Raw genomic sequence first — 18,469 nt, 5'->3', positions numbered from 1 at the left:
TGAGAACACAAGGACACACAGCGGGGAACAATGCACACTGGAGCTTTTTGGAGGATGGGAAGAGGGAGAGGATCAGAAAAATAACTAATGGGTACTAGGCTTAATACCTGAGTGATAAAATAATCTGCAAAAGTTTACAAAAAAAAAAAAAAAGCAAAGTGAGTTTGGAGGTGTTGAAATAGGGAGTCGATTGCTGGGGGGGAAAAGGGAGGAACAGCTCAGTCACATCCAAAAGCAACAGACCCTCACCCTACAATGCACCTTCCTTCACGAGACTGGCTATAGCCACATCTGGGTAACACCTGTTTTGTGTGAATATCCAGCCAAGTACAAAATCTGTCCATTTTCATACACCTTTAATCCCACCCACCCACCCCCCTCATCTTGGAGCAATGCCCTCAACACACACCTGTGTCCTCACAGGAATGCCAGAAAGTGTTAACACGTCGGGCAGACACAAGACAAGGGAGAGATGGCTCAGCCCAAACTCATGTTCTCAACTTTATTCCCCATCCCAGTGGTGGCTCTTCTGTACAGTGGAGAAAGAAGGGGGACCCCACCAGGGCTATGGAGAGACAGTAGAGGCAGGACTGAACCGTCAGCAAAGATTAAAAGGATGACCTGAGGCTGGCAACCACAAAACCAAGAAGCCAGCGGGGGCTGCCCCTTCCAAGTCTCACCAATGACCCAGAGCAGGTTCCAGAGCCCAAAGGCCCAAAAGTGCAATTCCCAAAAGCCAAGGTCTGGGAGCCATCAAGGAGCTCCCAGAGATCCAGCGACGCTCAGAGGGCAAGGGTGTCTTTGATGAGCCTGCGCATGGTGGTGGTGACTGAGGTGCCCAGGGCATCAGTGATCTGGAAGGAGATCTTGTACAGGTAGGGCTGCACGTCCCGCAAGCCTGTGTCAAACACGTTATCCACCTCCGACTGTGTGGGCATCTTGGGCAAGTACTCATGCCGATTCATCACCTCCACGATGTTGATGATCTTCTCGCAGAGTTTCTCACCCACCTTCTCCCGGCAGATCTGCCGCTCCTGCTCCGTGGCCAGGGCTACCACATGCACCTTGACCGTCCACACTTCCCATGGGATGCACTCGTCTGAGAATGGCCAGCGAGACTTCTTCTTCTGGTAGAACTCCAAGGACATCTGCCCCAGCCCATCGCCACCAGAGTTGCGCAGTGCATCCTGGGAAGAAGGGAACGAATGAGCAAGCCAAGGCCTCTGAGTTCCCACCTGTGAGGGCCTGCTTCCCACACCCCAGGGAATTATGCTCTCTTAGCTCTAGTCATCATCCAAGCATGGCAAGGAAACAAGACTGGGAGAGGGTAAACGATTTGGGCTTAGTGACACAGCAAACTGCCAGCCTGAAATTGTGTAGTTCAAGCAAACCAACAAAATCTGTCTCCAAGCCCAACTCCTCCAGCTTGGTGAAGAACTGATATTACAGGAATAACTACTGGTCTGCAGGCACGTATTCTGTGCTAGGAACTTAACACACACAATCCCACTGGCTCCTCCCAACAACCCCATCAGCTTTCACCAAGGCACGATGAGGCTTAGAGAAGTAAGGTAACTTGCGAGAGTCACATGCCTATGGATGGCTGGACCAGGGTTTGAATCTGGATTGTCTGATTTCTAAATCCTTGCTTTTCACCTTTGCATTGCATCAAGGGCCTCCTCCTTCCACACCACCCCTTTAGCCCATATCCTTCAAAATGTTCTAATCACCTCGTCAACATTTCCCTCTTCCCCTGTAAACTCTATTTGTCTTCTCCACTGCCAATTAAACATAATTCTTTTGATATTTTTTAAAGAAACTGGGTCTTACTCTGTCACCCAGGCTGGAGGGCAGTGGAGCAATCATGGCTCACTGCAGCCTCGGACTCCTGGGCTCAAGCGATCCTCCCACATTAGCCTCCTGAGTAGCTGATACTACAGGCACACTTGGCTAAGTTTTAATTTTTTTTATTTTGTTAAGAGACGGGGTATTGTTACGTTATCCAGGCTGGTCTCGAATTCCTGGGCTCAAGCAATACTCCTGCTTCAGCCTCCCAAAGTGCTGGGATTACGGTCACAAGCCACTGCACCCAGTTCACAGTCTCTTTTATGAGCTAAGGAAGAGGGAACTGTAGAGCCCAGTGGTCCTTGCTCAAAAAGAGGGAAACCAAGCAACAGAATGGGGAAGGGAAGTTGAAGGACAGACCAGACCTGGCACTTCTCCCTCTTCTCCCCTGAGAAGCAAACAGGACCATCCAGTCCAATGATTCTGCCCTTGCCACCCCATGGGTGTGAGTGGCCCCATACTCCTCTTCCTAGGGCAGCCAGGACCCTGAAGTTCCTTTCCATCTGAGTTAATACCAACCCAGAGGGTAAGGATGCCTGAAATCCTGAACCACACTCATCAGGGAAGAGGCTTTCCTTCACTGACAAACCAAGGTCAAGTAACCTTGAATGGCTAATGCATCTGTAATGTTTACTGTGTGCCAGGCTCTGTTCCAAACACTGGGCATATTTGACTTATTCAGTCCTTGCAGTGCACACACCCTTTGAGGTAAGCAAGATTATTATTGCAATTTTGAGTGGAGCCGCTAGCCCAAGGTCACACACTTGCTGGGTGGCAGACCCCAGCTCCAAAGCCCATGCTCTTCACCACTCTGCTCCACCTGCCTCTCATGGACACCTGGAGGACACAGGGCTGAGTGCTGCTGCTGCTCTTAAGGGTGACTAGGAAACCACTTATGAACTTGCCCTTTCTGGGTTTGGCGGGACAATGAGAGACAGCTTTCACCTGACACTGGGCAACCCCCTGCAATGAGCACACAGTACCCAGCACAGTGAAGGGCTCTGCAAATATTTATGGAATGAAAGTCAGACACACAGCTCCCCCGTGTTCTAACCCCAGAGCAGATGCCTTCAGGCTCATGCCAGTAATTCAAGACCAGCCTTTAGTTCAAGACCAGCCTGGGCAACACAGTGACACCCCATCTCTACAAAAAAAATTATTTTTTTTTGGAGACAGGGTTTTGCTCTGTCACCCATGCTGGAGTACAGTAGCGTGATCATGGCTCACTGCAGTCTCGAATTCCTAGGCTCAAGCAATCCTCCCACCTCAGCTGCTCAAGCGTCTGGAACTAGAGGCATGTGCCACCACACCCCACTAATTTTTGTATTTTCTGTAGAGACGGAGTTTCGCCATGTTTCCAGGGCTGGTCTTGAACTCCTGGGCTCAAGCAATCCGGCCATCTCAGCCTCCCAAAGTGCTGAGACAACAGGCATGAGCCACCAGGCCTGGCAAAATAAATCTTCAAAAATTAGCCGGGCATGGTGGTGGTGGTGTACACCTGTGGTCCCAGCTGCTTGGAAGGCTGCAGTGGAAGGACTGCTCGAGCCCAGGAGTTCAAGACTGGGGTGACATAGTGAGACTGTGTCTCAAAAAAAAAAAAGGAAGAAAGAAAAATTATCTTTGCTACTTTAAAATGTAAAAGTACGCACTCAATGAAATGGTCAAACACTGTGACTCTGAACAAAGACCAGAGGAGAAGGCACACTACCACTCCCACCTCCTGAGGTGACCAACAGCAGCAGCCGGCCGTGTCCCTTCTACATCTTTCTCCTACCCAGGCACACAATGCCACACCACCAAAAGGGACACTCCCATCTTGGATGGCAGCCACCTGAACCAAGCAAGCCGTCCTCTGGGGGAGTTTCATGTGGGAAAGGAAAAGTGGAAGCAGAAGCAGAGAGAGCTGTAACCAGAGAGGTCAAGACCACAGAAGCAAGGATGGCCCCAGGGGACCTGGCCGCCAACACTGCTCAGCTTCCTGCTCTCCCTTTTCCCCCAGGCACATTTATGAGTCTCTCCCTCCCCCACCACACACACACGCGCCCGCGCGCCCTCCCCTGAAGAGGAGCTCTCAACACATCTGTTTCTCAGAACCTGAAAGAACCCGATTCACGCACTCAGGAAGAGAAGGCTGGTTCAACACCAAGCTGGAGTGGAGGAGCACTCGAGGCCCCCCTGCCATCTGCTATGCCACACCCTTACCTTGAACTCCCCGACACCCTTACCTTGAACTCCCCAACAACCTTGCGCAGGGCACGATCCAGTTCCTCAGAAGAGACACGCACATAAGTGAAGTCGATGAAGTCACAGTCAACATCCTGGGTGCCCACGGTGCCAATGGAGTAGGTGCCCTCCTTCTTGTAGTGGAACTTGCCTGTGCTGCGGTGCAGAAGCACCGTGTGCAGCACAGCCAGCATGGCCTCCTCCACCTGCCGCCCCTCCACCGACACCTCCAGCACCTCCGAGCGACAGTTCATCCTGCACCCAGTAACCCACACCAAGGTGTGGAACTAGGATAAAGACAGGGGATCTTCACCCTACCCAAGGGCCACCCTGCAAAAGGAGCCCAGGTCAGAATGCTGACAAGAATAGTCCACGTGTTATCTGTTCACTTCCTTCTAGGCTCAGCTCAGCCTCTGCCTCCACTGGCCCTTCTCTGCATTTTGGCAGCACACACTATCAACGAATCATCAAGTCTCAGGATCAGAAAGTGCAAGAGCTTCAAAGTTATCAGTCCAAATGACAGGCTGGGATTCCATTTTACAGCCTTCAATGTAGTTTACAGCAGATGCTCACTGTGCAACATTTGTCAGGTACTAGACATCAAAGGCAAGCACGGCCCCTGCCCTCAGGCTGACAGGATGAAGAAAAAGCACGCAACTAAACATTATCACCACGGAGAGAGTACAGGGTGGGAGTAAGAAGTACAGAAAGATTGGAGTCTGATTTCCTGGGACCTTGAATGAACAGGTTAAGGCATTTGGACTCTGTCCTAAAAGCAGCGAAGAGTCAATGCATCACTAAGCCAAGATCAAATCTGTGCATCAAAAAAGTACCTCTAGGCCGGGTGTGGTGGCTCACATTAATCCCAGCAACTTGGGAGGCCGAGGCAAATCACTTGAGCTCAAAAGTTCAAGACCAGCCTGGGAAACATGATAAAACCCCATCTCTACCAAAAATATAAAAAATTAGCTGGGCCTGGTGGCAGGCGCCTGTAGTCCCAGTTACTTGAGGGGCTGAGGCAGGAGGATAACTTAAATGTGGGAGGCTGAGGCTGCAGTGAGCTGAGATCATGCCACTGTGCTCCAGCCTGAGTGACAAAGCGAGACCCTGTCTCAAAAAAAACAAAAATACAAAGTAATAAAATAAATTTAAAAAAAAAAAGACAAGTACCTTTGGCTAAAGGGCAAAGAATGGCTCTAAACCGTATTGGGGTCACAAACTGCTCTGAGAAGTGAATGAAGCCATGAAGACTGGGCTTTAAAAACATGACTCTCACACACACACATATACCAAATCTCACCTATTTCTAGAGACACCCACATCCACAGACTCCAGGGTAAAAACTTGTGGATTTAAGGCACAAAGGCTGGGCACGGAAGTCAGTTAAAGACCACTACAGTAGATGTAGTTACAGAAGCAGCATAATCAGGTGTGGGCGGTTTTTCATGTCCTACAGTCCTGGGTTTGAATCCCACCTCATCTACATCTTGCTCTATGACCTTAAGCGAATCACTCAACCTCTCTGAACTTCTTATCTGTAAATGGGGATAGTAGTGAGAATTAAGGTAACACATGTAAAATACAGTAGAATAGTGGTTGAAAACGATGACTTGAAAGCCAGACAACCTGGAATGGAACCCCAGCTCTGCCACTTGCTCCATGCTCATGATCTTGGGCAAGCTGCTTAACACCTATCTGCCACATATACAAAAGAGATAATAATGGCTACCTTGAAAGGGTTGAGGGCTGAATGAGCTAGCATGTATAAAACACTTAAATAAGTACCTGACAAATGGTAAATATCCACTAAGTATTAGCTGCTATAATTCATTATTACATTGTTACTGCCAAGAGATGATGCAAGGCTATAACACAGCAGTGGTAGAGAGAGTAGGAAGGAGAGAACAAGAGACTTGAGAACTAGAACATAATAACTAAATACATGCCCAGAGGGAGAGGGAGCTTCAAGTTCCTTATAACTCAGAGTATTCAGCTTGCAAACCTCCCCTGACTGGGAATTCACTAGCTCTCACAACAACCAGTCAATGTTCAGGAAGTTCTATTCAGTTATTCTGATTTATTTATTTATTTTATTTATGAAATGGGGTCTCACTCCATCACCCAGGCTGCAATACAGTGACACAATCTCTACTCACTGCAACTTCTGCCTCCCAGGCTCCCATCCCAGCCTCCCAAGCAGCTGGGAACACAGGCGAACACCACCACACCTGGCTAATTTTTTGTATTTTTGGTAAAGAAAGGGTTTTGCCATGTTACCCAGGCTGGTCTCGAACTCCTGAGCTCAAGAGATCCACCCGCCTCGGCCTCCCAAAGTGCTGGGATTACCGCACCCAGTCCAGTTATTCTTTCTGCTGAAGAATCTGTCTCTTAGTGCTTCAAACCACTTTTAGTTTTAGTTTTGGTACCCAAAGCCACACAAAATAAGTCTCACCTCTTTTCCACAAGTGAGTTTTTATTTAGGGGCAGCTATTCCACCACCCCCTCACCCCTTCTACAGGCTGAAGGTCCCCAGTCCTCAAAAACATGTCTGTTCCACATCACATCTTATCTGCATGGAATCCTAGCAGCTCTCCTCTAAGTATATTTCACTCATCTGGTTGACAGATGGTGAATATAAAAAGTATATTTCAGTTTGTGTCTGCCCCTTTTAAACTGTTGCTCAGCACAGGATACAGGGCAACGGTCTGTGGACCGCACAGAGATCAGGCCAGCTCTGCCTCTCAGCTGGCGATCAGCTCGCGTCTACCTGTACTATCAAGCACCATCACGTTTTGTTTTTGTCTCTACCACTAGGCAAACAATTCCTATATTCTGCTTATAGGGCAGAGACTATATTCCATTCATCACTATAATGGTAATTCCTAGTACCTTCTACAAAACAACTGCTCAATTGAGCCCAACCCAGGAATTCCAGGTTCTTCCAGGGGTTGCTGGATTAGTTTCTCCTACATGCTTGGATCAAGAAGGAGAAGGGCTCTCTTGCTCGTTTTGCCCTCCAGTTTTACTCCATCCAGCAGTTTTCTTCCCATCTAGAGACTCCCGGCTCTGGTCCGGCTCCCTTTCTTCCACGACTTCTCCCTCTTGTGTCCCCCGCAATCGTTCACACAAGCCACACATCTCACTTGTGCCCCAAGCCTGGGCTCCTCCCTCATTCTACGTGCTATTTTAGGATCCACTCCTCCAAGAAGTCAGTCCTGACCAACCCCATTCTCCTTCCCACAGCTGCCACATTTGGTCTGTGAAAACCTTGTTGTCCCCTGCCCCACACAGTGAGCAGTGAGCAAGCAGGGCCCACCAGAGTAGGGTCTGGAAAGTCTCGTCCCTCTTGTCCCCCCGAGTGGCAGAGGCTAACAGCCGCCTTCTCAAGCCTGGCTGGAGCACAGGGTGCGCCCATTCCCACCTTGAGTGTAGAGTTTGGAGCACGGATTCCTCAAGCTCGGCTCATGCCCTTCCTCCTCCTCCTCACGCCCTGGTGCGACCTCCGCAGGTACGCTTCAACCTCCGCACGGCGCTGAGCCACAAGAGACCAGCTAAAAGCAAAACCAGAAAACTTACTTGGCTCCATATCAAGAGACTCGGGACGGACGCAGGAAGGAATTCCCGCCCGGGTCCCGTATCCCCCGCCGCCACTACGCGCGAACCTCCACAGTCCACGTAACCAGGGAGGAACGGACTCCTCGGGTGTCTCGGGGGCGGCGCCCCGCGCCCAGGCTGGCTGGACTCGGAAGCTGGAGGAGCGCCCGCGTTCCACTGCCCCGGGGGATGCCCACGCCGGCACAGGAGAGGGGGCACACGGTTAAAACAGCTCCCACCTCCCCCAACCACAGTCCACGACCAGCCTCTCAGATGCCACCACTCTCCCGGCAGGCTCCAGACCACCTGGGTCGGAGGCTGAGCCGGGACCGGAAGCCGCACCGCCCCCCGCGCGCCGGGAAGCTCACCAGATCCCACGGCCCCGGAGGGGGCACCTGCCCAGCTCGCCGGGCCCCCGCACGCATGTAGCCGCCCACAACATCCGCGTAGTCACAGAAGCACACGCAGATAGTCATGCGTTGCTCTCTGATCTGGGGGCTGCTCCTTTCGTGGTTATGTCTCGGATTTTAAGAGTTGATGGTGATGAAGATCCCCCTCATGTGGACGAGTCCATTCAGCCCACCACCGAGAACGCTGTGGTGTTTCGGCCCGTACAACTCACTTCCGCCATAGAGACTGGAGGGAAGGAGGAGCCCTACGGGCTCTCGGCCGCCTCCCTAGGCCGAGCGGAGTCATCGGCGGCGAGCCTGGCCGGGAGACGCTGACGCGGTGCCCAACTCAGTCCGGACTGAGAGGTCTGGAAGGAACACTGATCACCGCAAGATGAGGGGCGTACCCCGTAGAGAGAGGTCCTGGAGATGAGCCCACACCGCTGTACTGCAGGACGCCCAGTGGATGGCAAAACTTGAGTTTGTTGAATGTGCGTAACAGACGGGATCCCTGGCCCTCCACCCACACAGATGCTGGAGAAAGGGGCTTCATCTCTCAGTGTTGCCTTTATGCAGCAGCACTACTTGATACCCCATGGTGACCAATCTGGTGACAGTCCTTCGGAGGCTAGTAATTCGGCCATTGCTTCTCTGCGTGACCCTCAACATCACTCATCCTTTCTGATGCTCTCTATAAACAGGTGGCTGTTGTGAGGATCACAGGAGATAACTCATATGAAAGATTTCTGTGACCTGTAAAGTCTAATATGAATACAAGTGTATTTTTAGTGCTGTGTAACTTCCTGGAGCGCATTTGGTTCTCCATGTAGATTGTAAGCCCAGAGCAGACAGGGCTTCGAGAGCTCGGTTAATGCACCCACCTCCAATAGGAGGCAGTATTTTTTTTTTTTTTTTTTTTTTTTTTTTTTTTGAGACGGCGTCTCGCTCTGTCGCCCAGGCTGGAGTGCAGTGGCGCTATCTCGGCTCACTGCAAGCTCCGCCTCCTGGGTTCACGTCATTCTCCTGCCTCAGCCTCCCGAGTAGCTGGGACTACAGGCGCCCACCACCACGCCCGGCTAATTTTTTTTGTATTTTTTTTAGTAGAGACGGGTTTTCACCGTGTTAGCCAGGATGGTCTCGATATCCTGACCTCGTGATCTGCCCGCCTCGGCCTCCCAAAGTGCTGGGATTACAGGCGTGAGCCACCGCGACCGGCCAGGAGGCATTCTTAAGGTGTTAGCTGGGGATTACCATGCTCATTTTCTGGCCCATTGGGGTGCCTCACGCCTGTGATCCCAACATTTTGGAAGGCTTAGGACAGAGCATCACCTGGGGCCGGGGGTTCAAGACCAGCCTGGTCGACATAGTGAGACTCCCATCTTTAAAATAAAAATTAAAAATTTAGCTGGGCGTGTTGGTGTACCCCTGTAGTCCCAGCTACTTCAGAGGCTGAGGTGGAGGATCACCTGAGCCCAGGAGGTTGAAGCTGCAGTGAGCTATAATCACGCCACTGCATTGCAGGCTGAATGACAAAACAAGATCCTGTCTCAAAAAGAAAAAAAAAAAAAAGTCGGGTGTGATGGCTCATGCCTGTAATCCCGGTACTTTGGGAGGTCGAGGCTGATGGATCACTCGAGGTCAGGAGTTTGAGACCAGCCTGGCCAATATGGTGAAACCTCATCTCTACCAAAAATACAAAAAAAAAAAAAAAGCCAGGTGTGGTGTCAGGCACCTGTAATCCCAGCTACTTGGGAGGCTGAGGCAGAAGAATTGCTTGAACCTGGGAGGTGGAGGTTGCAATGAGCTGAGACTGCACCACGGCACTCCAGCCTGGGCAACGGAGAGAAACCCTGTCTCAAAAAAAAAAAAAAAGCTGATTTTTCTAACACATGCTTTTATTTCCCAAAACGATAATAGATAACATTTATTAGGTGGAATGGAAAGGTCATGATTTTAAATACCATATATGTGTACATATAAATTTAAACCTGATACTAATCAATCCTGCAATATAGATAAGAAATTGGGCCGGGCATGGTGGCTCACGCCTGTAATCCCAGCACTTTGGGAGGCCGAGGCAGGTGGATCATTTGAGGTCATGAGTTCGAGACCAGCCTAACCAACATGGTGAAACCCTGTCTCTACTAAAAATACAAAAAAAAAAAAAATAGCCAAGCTTGGTGGCACACACCTGTAATGCCAGCTACTCCGGAGGCTGAGTCAGGAGAATCGCTTGAACCGGGGAGGCAGAGGTTGCAGTGAGCAGAGATCACACCACTGCACTCCAGCCTGGTGAAAGAGCGAGACTCCGTCTCAAAAAAAAAAAAAGAAAAAGAAAGTGACTGGGGAGAGGTTAAGTAAGTGGCCCAAGGTCATTCAGTAAATAACAGAGCCTTGAGTTCAAATCGAAAGCTCTTTGCCACTATGGGAGCTCTCTTTCTGGCTGGCTTCTTCAGCCAACTCTCTCCTATGTACCACCACTCTCCAATACACCCCCACCCACCAGTGGTGTCCTGATAAATGCTTCACACCTGCTCTCTGGTAAGGGAAATGCCTTGATTTGTAGCATTTGCCCATTTCCTATCATAGGTGATTTCAAACTACAAGACATCAATGAATGCAGAGTCCAGAACGGATGGATGATTGCATCTTGATCGTCAAGGTTAAAATCAGCCCTTGAGGGCCAGTGCCAGCTGGCTCCAGCACACCACTGTCACCACCTCACCCTTAGGCTTCCCCCTCCCATTCAGTTCTTCGAAACCTGGCTGCACAAGCTCCTCCTCAGGCTGGCCTTTCCACCATCATCTGCTCCCTATCCTCTTCCCTTCCTCCCCACAGTTCTGCCCTTTTTCAGCCCTTGCCTCTTATCCCAGGTGTGGGTGCCTCTCCTGGGAGAAAGAGAAAGCTGCCTGCCCTACACACCAGCGACCTCTTCGGGAGGCTGCACAAAACCAGACGGCAATCAGGAGGAAATATTGAGAGGGAAGGGTCTGTAAGAAGCTGAGAGAGGGACCAAGGGAGGTTGGAACCAGTCCTGGAGTGGAGGAGGTGCCAGAGCCCATCCCCAGAGACTGCCAGTGAGTAAGGGAAGTGACTGATCTCTCTGGCCATCCACACACTCCAACTCAGCCCTTTGCGACCACTAGCCTGACATCATCATCATCATCATCATCATCACTACTACCAATCATTGAACCTTGCTAGGTACAATGCCAGCACTCATAGGCCCTATTGTGCTGATTTTTCCAACTACCTTTCAAGGTAGATACAGTCCACCTCCCCGACACTCCACTCTCTGATTTACTTGATATTATAACTGAAGCCCAGTCATACATAGTGATGCATAGTGGTTTCCTGTGATGCTTAATTTTACGTGTCAGCTTGACTGGGACACAGGGTACCTAGACAGTTGGTTAAGTATGATTCTGGGCTTGTCTGTGGGGTGTTCTGATGAGCCTAACATTGGAATTGGCAGACAGTGAAGCCGATTTCCCTTCCCGGTGTGGAGGGGCTTCATCCAATCAGTTGAAAGCCTAGTAGAACCAACAGGTTGACCCTTCAGTGAGTAAGGGGAACTCCTGCCTGACTGTCTTAGAACTGGGACATTAGTATTTTCCTGCTTTCAGGTTCCAACTGCCTTCAGATAACTGCTTCTCCTAGGTCTCAAGACTGCAATGACACCATCAGCTTTCCTGACTTCAGATCTTAGGACTTGTCAGCCAGCTCCTTATAATAAATCCCTCTCGGCCGGGTGTGGTGGCTCACACCTGTAATCCCAACACTTTGGGGGGCCAAGGCAGGCAGATCACCTGAGGTCGGGAGTTCGAGACCAGCCTGACCAATATGGAGAAACCCCATCTCTACTAAAAATACAAAACTAGCCAGGTGTGGTGGCGCATGCCTGTAATCCCAGCTACTCAGGAGGCTGAGGCAGGAGAATTACTTGAACCCGGGAGGCGGCGATTGTGGTGAGCTGAGATCTCGCCATTGCACTCCAGCCTAGGCAACAAGAGCGAAACTCCATCTCAATCAATCAATCAATCAATCCCTCTCTTTCTGCCGCCACATATGTATGGGGGAGAAACTCTCTCTCTACATTATGTGTGTCTATGTCCTACTGCTTCTGTTTCTCTGGAGAACCCTGACTAGTACACGTCCAAGGCCATGCAGCTGCTCTTTCCTCCTTCCACCAGTGTTTTCACCCACTTATGTCCCTACTCCGGCACTCACCTTTCCATGGAGCCTTGCCTACTGGACTGGGGAACATAAGGAAGGCTGAGTCCTCTCACCTCTTTATCTCACATGCTGACCCACACTTGCCTCTTCCTACCTCCCTGAATTCTTACAGGGAAATTCTCACTGCAACCCTGGGTCTCAGCCCCTCTGGTAGTCCCATCAGGGAGGGGAGGGAGTGGTTAAAAAACTGGGATTGTGTGGGATGAATTATCTCATTCTATGCCCCTACCTCTGATGATCAAGACGTAATCGTCTATTCATTCATTCATGCCACACGTGGAACTGTCCACATGCCAGGCCCTTGTAATACCTTGTGATGCCAAGGGGGACAAGTCACAGTTCTAGCCCTCTGGGAGCTCAGAGTCTTCAGAGGAGGTGGACCAGGAGATACCTGTGGGTAAGAAAACCCAACAAGTGGTATGAAAGAAATGGCAGCAGGTTTTGTGGGGACCCAAGAGGGCCAGGATGGAGAGATGCTGGTTACCTGGAATAAAAAGTGACACATTCAGGCTGGATGCGGTGACTCACACTTGTAATCCCAGCAATTTGGGAGGTCGAGGCGTTGGATCACCTGAGGTCAGGAGTTCGAGACCAGCCTGGCCAACATGGTGAAACCCCATCTCTACTAAAAATACAAAAAGTAGCTGGGCCTGCTGGCACGTGCCTGTAATCCCAGCGACTCAGGAGGCTGAGGCAGGAGAATGGCTTGAAACTGGGAGGTGGAGGTTGCAGTGAGCCAAGATCATACCACTGCAGTCCAGCCTGGGCAACAGAGAAAGACTCTGTCTCAAAAAACAAAAAACAAACAAATAAAAAACAGAAAGCAACACATTCAGAGTGAAGAGGAGTCCCAAGCCCTGCTCTCAGCAAGTTGGGAAGTGACCAGGCACCAGGAGAAAACGAGGACAGCTTGAGAGAGCACCAAGCAGCAACCTAGGGAGATGGCAGGGAAGGGGGTTGATTCCAGGAGGAAGTGGGAATTATTCTAGGAAAGCTCCCTGGAGAAGAGGGAAGAAAAAAAACAGGGGGCGGGGGCAGAGAGTAGAAACTGAGGGTTCTGGGGGTGAGAGAGGCAAGGATAAGAGAGAGCAGATTTTCAGCCCGAGCCCAGAGCCACAGCTGCCAAGCAGACAGGCGACTGGCTCAGACTCTCCGAGCCATGCCTGCAGCAGAGGCCTGTGGGGAGACCTTGAAGGCCAACCCAAGACCTTGGGAGTAGGCAGCTGGCTTCGCCTGGTGAATGTGGCCTCAAATGGCCCCAACTCATCCTGGTGTGTGCCCAGGGGAGAGCTGAGCCCCAAAGCTGCCCCTGCAAGCCACCCCAGCTGCTCCAGCGCTGACCCCAGTGGCGTCACAGGGAGTGACTCAAGCCCCAGCAACAACAATGAGTGGGACTGACGTCAGGCCAGGGCTCCTGATGGTGGCCAGGCTGGCTGGAAAGCCAGCACCCTGCCTGCTGACCCTCCAGCCTGGGCAGGCTGAGGGGGTGAGGAGGACCAGCTGTCCCTCTCTGACATCTGCCCCCTGGACCGTGGGCAGGGGCTCTTCCACCTCCCACCCTTTCTGGGATGTCACTTCCAGCCCCCACCCTCCCTGACGGGGAAAATGTCTGGGCGGATGAAAGAGTGGCAGAGAGCGTGAGAAAGGGGCACCTCCCAGCCCCAACCTGCCAACCTCACCAGGCAGCCCGGAGACTAGGACCAAGCCGGGAGCAGCTTGTGTGCTGTCTGTTCTCCTGAGGACCCAGGGATCTGTCCATGTTGGGGAAGTGTTTTGTGGCTTTTTTCTCTTTTTTTCTTTTTTTCTTTTTTTTCCAGAAAGGTCTGTGTTTGGCCAAGTTGGGGTAGAAGCCGGGCTTTATTTCTGTGCCTCCGTCCCTCGGGGGTGCGGGACTGTCTCTCCTTGCTGCAAGATCTATTCCTTTGGCAGGCCGTTCTGAGCATCTGTCGTTCTTTAAGGAAGAGGATTCTGGGCGACTGTGCTTGCAAACGGTTAGGGGGCTGTTTATCTGCCCCAGATAAGGCAGTCTCTATATCTGCCACTGGGGAGCTGTTTTTCTGTCCCTGCTTTCTTGCGGGGCAGGGGCCATCTCTATCTGTCCTTGTGGTATCCCAGCTACCTGGGGCCCTGGGGTGGAGTCCAGGTTTCCTGCTTGGCTATGCCAAGGCTGGGCTCCCTGATTGGAGGCCTCTTTCCTCTGATGTTCTCCAGGCTAGGAGTGCAGCAACAGTCAGCACCCTGCCCGCCTGGCTTGCAGCTGGGCACTGCTCCCTGCTAACGCAGCATGTACCAGGACAGGCCCCCCCGCACTCCCCTCCCTGTCCCAGCTGCCACCCCCAGCCCCTGCGGCCACGCCAGGCCTGATTTATGGTCCTGAGTTGGGGCTGGACAGTGCCAGCGCCTGGGTCAGACCTTGAGGAGACCTCAAGTGGCACCCTTGGTCTGGCAGGGTCAGGGCCCAGGAGGAGACGACGGGGAGCCAGGGTGCTGGGGAGGATGAACACAGCAGGGGCCCAGGAGTGGCCGGCAGGAGGTGGAAGCCAAGGCCAGGGCCTCCAGGGGCCCATAGGCTTCCCGCCGGCTCCAAGTCCAGCTGGGGACCTGGAAATGTGCCTCCTGCCTTCAGAAGGTCTCTGGCTTGTGTGGGAAAGGAGATATTGGAGAGTGAAAAGGGCTTTTCCTCTGCTTTGCACTGACTCCTTCCTGTACCCACCATCAGAGGCTGGAGGTTTCAAAGTCCCACTGGCCAGCCTAGGCCAAACCAGACAGTCTCCCATCCTGGGGCCCAGGAAGAGGCCTGAGAGCCTGAAGCTGGAGCAGGGATGGAGGCAGAGGTTTGGGGCAGAGACTGCAGCCCAGAGCTGAGCACTGGCTGCCCCGGGGAAGACAGAGCAGCTGCTCCCTGAGCTATGAGGCTGCAAGGCCAGGCCCCTGAAGGGCTGGGTGCCAGATAGACACCCAGGGCTCACCCCTTCAACCTCATCCTCTGAGGAGGCCCAATGGCCCTGGGGCTCTGCTGCACTCAGGGACTTGTGAGAGAGGGGCTGGGGCTCGTCCAGATGTCCAAGCTAAAACTCTCTTAGGATCCCAGGCCCAGCTCACACAAGGCCACCCAGCACTGCCTCACCAGGGCACAACTCTGACGTGCCTGGCACAACTGCCTCATGGCTGCAAAAGGATGTCACTGCTGACTGTCCAGGGACCACACAGTGGCCACCTGCCTCTGACAAGTCTCTCTCAGGCTGCCCTCTGCAGCAGCGGAGCTGCTGCCACACAGCTGAGCATGCTGGGTGCTCAGAGCAGGCCATGTGGACAGGACACCCCATTATAGCACGGTCTCCCATGACCTTCAGGTGCTTCTCACATCCTGGAGGCTGACCCTTGCCACACCCCTCCATAACCAAGACCAGGTGGCTGGAGCCCAGGTGTGGGGCAGCTTCCTCCACACTGGCCTCAGGGAAGGGCTACAGGCAGAGACCCCCGGAGTACAGAGCTCTCCCTCAGTCCCTAGACCTCAAAGCCACCCCTCCCCAGTCACAGTGGCACCTCAGGGCTGGGGAGGGGGCCAGGGGCCTCTGGGCACTGGGCCCAGCGTGGGTGGGGTGGGGGAGACAGAGAGGCAGGCTTCCTGGGTCTCCGCGTGAGGACAAACAGCAGACTTTGAGGCCTTGGAAAATCCCGCCTGGGATTCCAGGCCCTGCCGGCGTCACTGCCTTTTGACTATTGTCCCCGTCGGAAATGGGCCCAGCCCCCGGCCAGCCTGGACAGAGCAGCCATTGTGAGGCCCCATCAGGCTCAATGCCCCCTTGTTTGCCCTCCCATCCCATAGCAAGAGTTGGAGGCCAGTTCTTCCAGTTGCTGAGTGGAAAGAAAGGGCCTGCCTCCGGGCTCCAGCCCTTGGGCGGGGCAGGGTGGGGCAGGGTGGGGCTGGAGGAACTAGCCCCCCACCCCGTACCCTAATTGCCAGGGTCCTGAAAAGGAACCACCATCAATGGAGCTTCTTATTTTTGAGGCCCTGGGCAGGGAGACCTAGTGGTTAAGTAGCCAGATGCACCCAGCTCAGCTACTCACAAGCCAGGTGACCTTGGGAAAGTCATATCCTTTCTCTGAAATGAATTCTCCTCTTTTGTAAAAACAAAAGCTAATATTTATTGGGTGTTTGCTGTGTGCCAGGCACTGTGAAAAACACTTTGTATGTATTCACTCCTATAATCTTTATAGTAACTTCATAAAATAGATTCGTTTTCTTATTTCTAGGTGAAGACACTGAGGCACAGAAAGATTAACAAACTTGCCCCAAATCACACAGCTAGTAAGAGCTGGAGCCCAGATGTAAACCCAGGCCTCGGGCTCCAGGGTCCTTGCTTTCACCACTCTCCCATGGTGCCCCTGTGAGGTGGGAATAGCCAGGCTGTCTTCATGGGATGGCAGCTAGGGCTGGAAATCACAAGCGTCTGATGAAAAGAATCTGCCAGCGTGAACCCTAATACCCGCCAGCCTCATCCATAGATATAGAGATGCTCCCTCGGCCCCACTCCACTCCCAGCCCTGGCCCCTCCCTGAGCATCTGAGCAGCCCTCTTGCCTTCCCCAGTGCCTGTCCTGTCCTCACGTCTGTCTGTGCTAAAGGCAGGGAGCTGGAGGTGAGTGACACAAAGGAAAAGGACTCGGTCCAGCCAGCTGGCGGGAGATTTCCCAGCAAGCTCTGCTCCTAACCAGCCTCACCTCCCCACTGAACAGATGGGAAACTGAGGCTCGGTGAGGAGGAGGGACTTCTCAGAGAGCAGCATGGAGTTGGAGGCAAACAGAAGCCCACCTACTGATGGCCCCATGTCGTCAGGCGCGGGTGCAGCTGACAAAGCCTCGCTCAGGGGTCTGGGGCTGGGTGGGCGATGCCAGGGATACATGTTTGGAAGTCCACAGCACTGCTGGGAGCATGTCCCAGGGTCGGGACCGTGGTCTCCCTACCCCAGCCTCACTCGGACCTTCAGCAGGCCTGAGGCTGGACTGTGCTCCCAGAACCTGAGTGAGGGTATGTGGATGGGGGCTCCCTGCAAGCTGTGGCTGGAGCACCAGGGAAGGCCCCTGCTTCCCCCCATCCACAGCTGAGAGCCCTATTCTGTCGGGCCCCATCCAGTAGGAGCTGCCCCTCAGCCAGCCACTTCCCAGGAGCCATGGAGGTGGAGACTTGGGGGGTCCTGGGCCAAGGGCTGTGAGGAACACGTGTGAGGGCACTGCCTTCAGGCCTCCTGCTGGGTCCTAGAGAAGCAAACAGTGAGGCTGGGTGAGCACCGAGCACAGGAAGGTGCCAGACCCTGCATGATGACCAACTCCCATGGGCCTCAGGTTAGGTCCATCCACATGTTTCTCAGAAGGGTGGCCCCAGGCCACCTGCATCACAAGCACCTGGGTACTTGCTAGAACTGAAGGTTTGGGGCCCCCTCACCTCCCCAGATCTGAGTCTCTGGGGGTAGATCCCAGGAATCTGCATTTTAAGCCAGCTGACTAAACAACTGACGAGCCTAGGGGGTTGGAGGGCCTACGTGGGGACACGGGCACAGGTAGGGACTTCAGTACAATCTTCTTGCCGAGAAGGTGAGGGCCGCCAGATCCCTGGATCTTCTTGCTGGGGTGGCAGGAGAGTGGGGAGGAATGTTGAGAATGGGGATGTTAAAACCCTGAATGTAACAGCTACTACCAATTTGGGCTTACTTAAACCCAGCCCATGCTAAGCATTACACACACACTCCTCTGACCGTAAAAGCTCTGTGAGGCTGGGTCTATTCTTGTTTTATGGATGTGGAAATCAAGAATCAGAGAATATATGTCCAGTTTAGGAAACATGACAACCCTGAGATCTGCGGCTAAGTCTATTGCTAGGGCCCTGCAGTGACCCCTGGGCTAGTCAGCCACTGCAGACCCCAGCAATGAGCCAGGCACAGCTAGCCAGGCACAGCTAATGCAGGCTTCCCACGTGTTAGAAATTAGTCTAAGTGCTTTGCATAACAACCTCGTGAAGCAGGTGTCATTATTATCCGCCTTTTACAAATGAGTACACTGAGGCCTGACAGCTCAGGCTGGTAACATCCAAGTTTCATCTTGAGCAGCCCATCTCTTATGTAATGATGGGGTGTGTCTGGTGGGGGAGTGGGGAGGGGGCATCAGAGACAGACTGAATCTCAG

General features: G+C 52.7%; 1 protein-coding gene across 3 annotated transcripts, besides 3 other annotated features; it reads right to left on the bottom strand.

Moving 5' to 3' along the window:
* Positions 1 to 477: 477 nt before the first annotated feature.
* ATG101 (autophagy related 101) lies at positions 478 to 12,673 on the bottom strand. 3 transcript variants are annotated; one of them, XM_024449120.2, is made up of 5 exons: positions 12,517 to 12,673; positions 8,031 to 8,813; positions 7,490 to 7,619; positions 4,071 to 4,398; positions 478 to 1,187 (listed from the first exon to the last, which is right to left on the bottom strand). In XM_024449120.2, exons 4-5 carry the CDS (start codon positions 4,320 to 4,322, stop codon positions 783 to 785), a joined length of 657 nt encoding a protein of 218 aa, XP_024304888.1. In that variant the 5' UTR covers positions 4,323 to 4,398; positions 7,490 to 7,619; positions 8,031 to 8,813; positions 12,517 to 12,673; the 3' UTR covers positions 478 to 782. The 3 variants fall into 3 exon arrangements, with proteins under 3 accessions (XP_024304888.1, NP_068753.2, NP_001092143.1); NM_021934.5 differs by lacking the exons at positions 8,031 to 8,813; positions 12,517 to 12,673 and adding an exon at positions 7,731 to 7,995; NM_001098673.2 differs by lacking the exons at positions 8,031 to 8,813; positions 12,517 to 12,673 and adding an exon at positions 7,902 to 7,995.
* Positions 7,647 to 8,362: an enhancer, noted in NCBI's record as "H3K27ac hESC enhancer chr12:52463395-52464110 (GRCh37/hg19 assembly coordinates)". NCBI's record gives its function as "activates a minimal SCP1, AML or CMV promoter by ChIP-STARR-seq in primed H9 embryonic stem cells {active_cell/tissue: H9 hESC(primed)}" and the evidence as "EXISTENCE:reporter gene assay evidence [ECO:0000049][PMID:30033119]".
* Positions 7,647 to 8,529: a biological region, named in NCBI's record as "H3K27ac hESC enhancer GRCh37_chr12:52463395-52464110".
* Positions 8,240 to 8,529: an enhancer, noted in NCBI's record as "active region_6390". NCBI's record gives its function as "activates an Ori minimal core promoter by ATAC-STARR-seq in GM12878 lymphoblastoid cells {active_cell/tissue: GM12878}" and the evidence as "EXISTENCE:reporter gene assay evidence [ECO:0000049][PMID:35858748]".
* Positions 12,674 to 18,469: the final 5,796 nt, after the last annotated feature.

This window comes from Homo sapiens, chromosome 12, assembly GCF_000001405.40.
Source record: "Homo sapiens chromosome 12, GRCh38.p14 Primary Assembly".
In the NCBI taxonomy this organism is placed as follows: domain Eukaryota; kingdom Metazoa; phylum Chordata; class Mammalia; order Primates; family Hominidae; genus Homo; species Homo sapiens.
The sequence above is the reverse complement of the archived record's forward strand: the minus strand, read 5'-3'. Positions and strand labels throughout refer to the sequence as shown.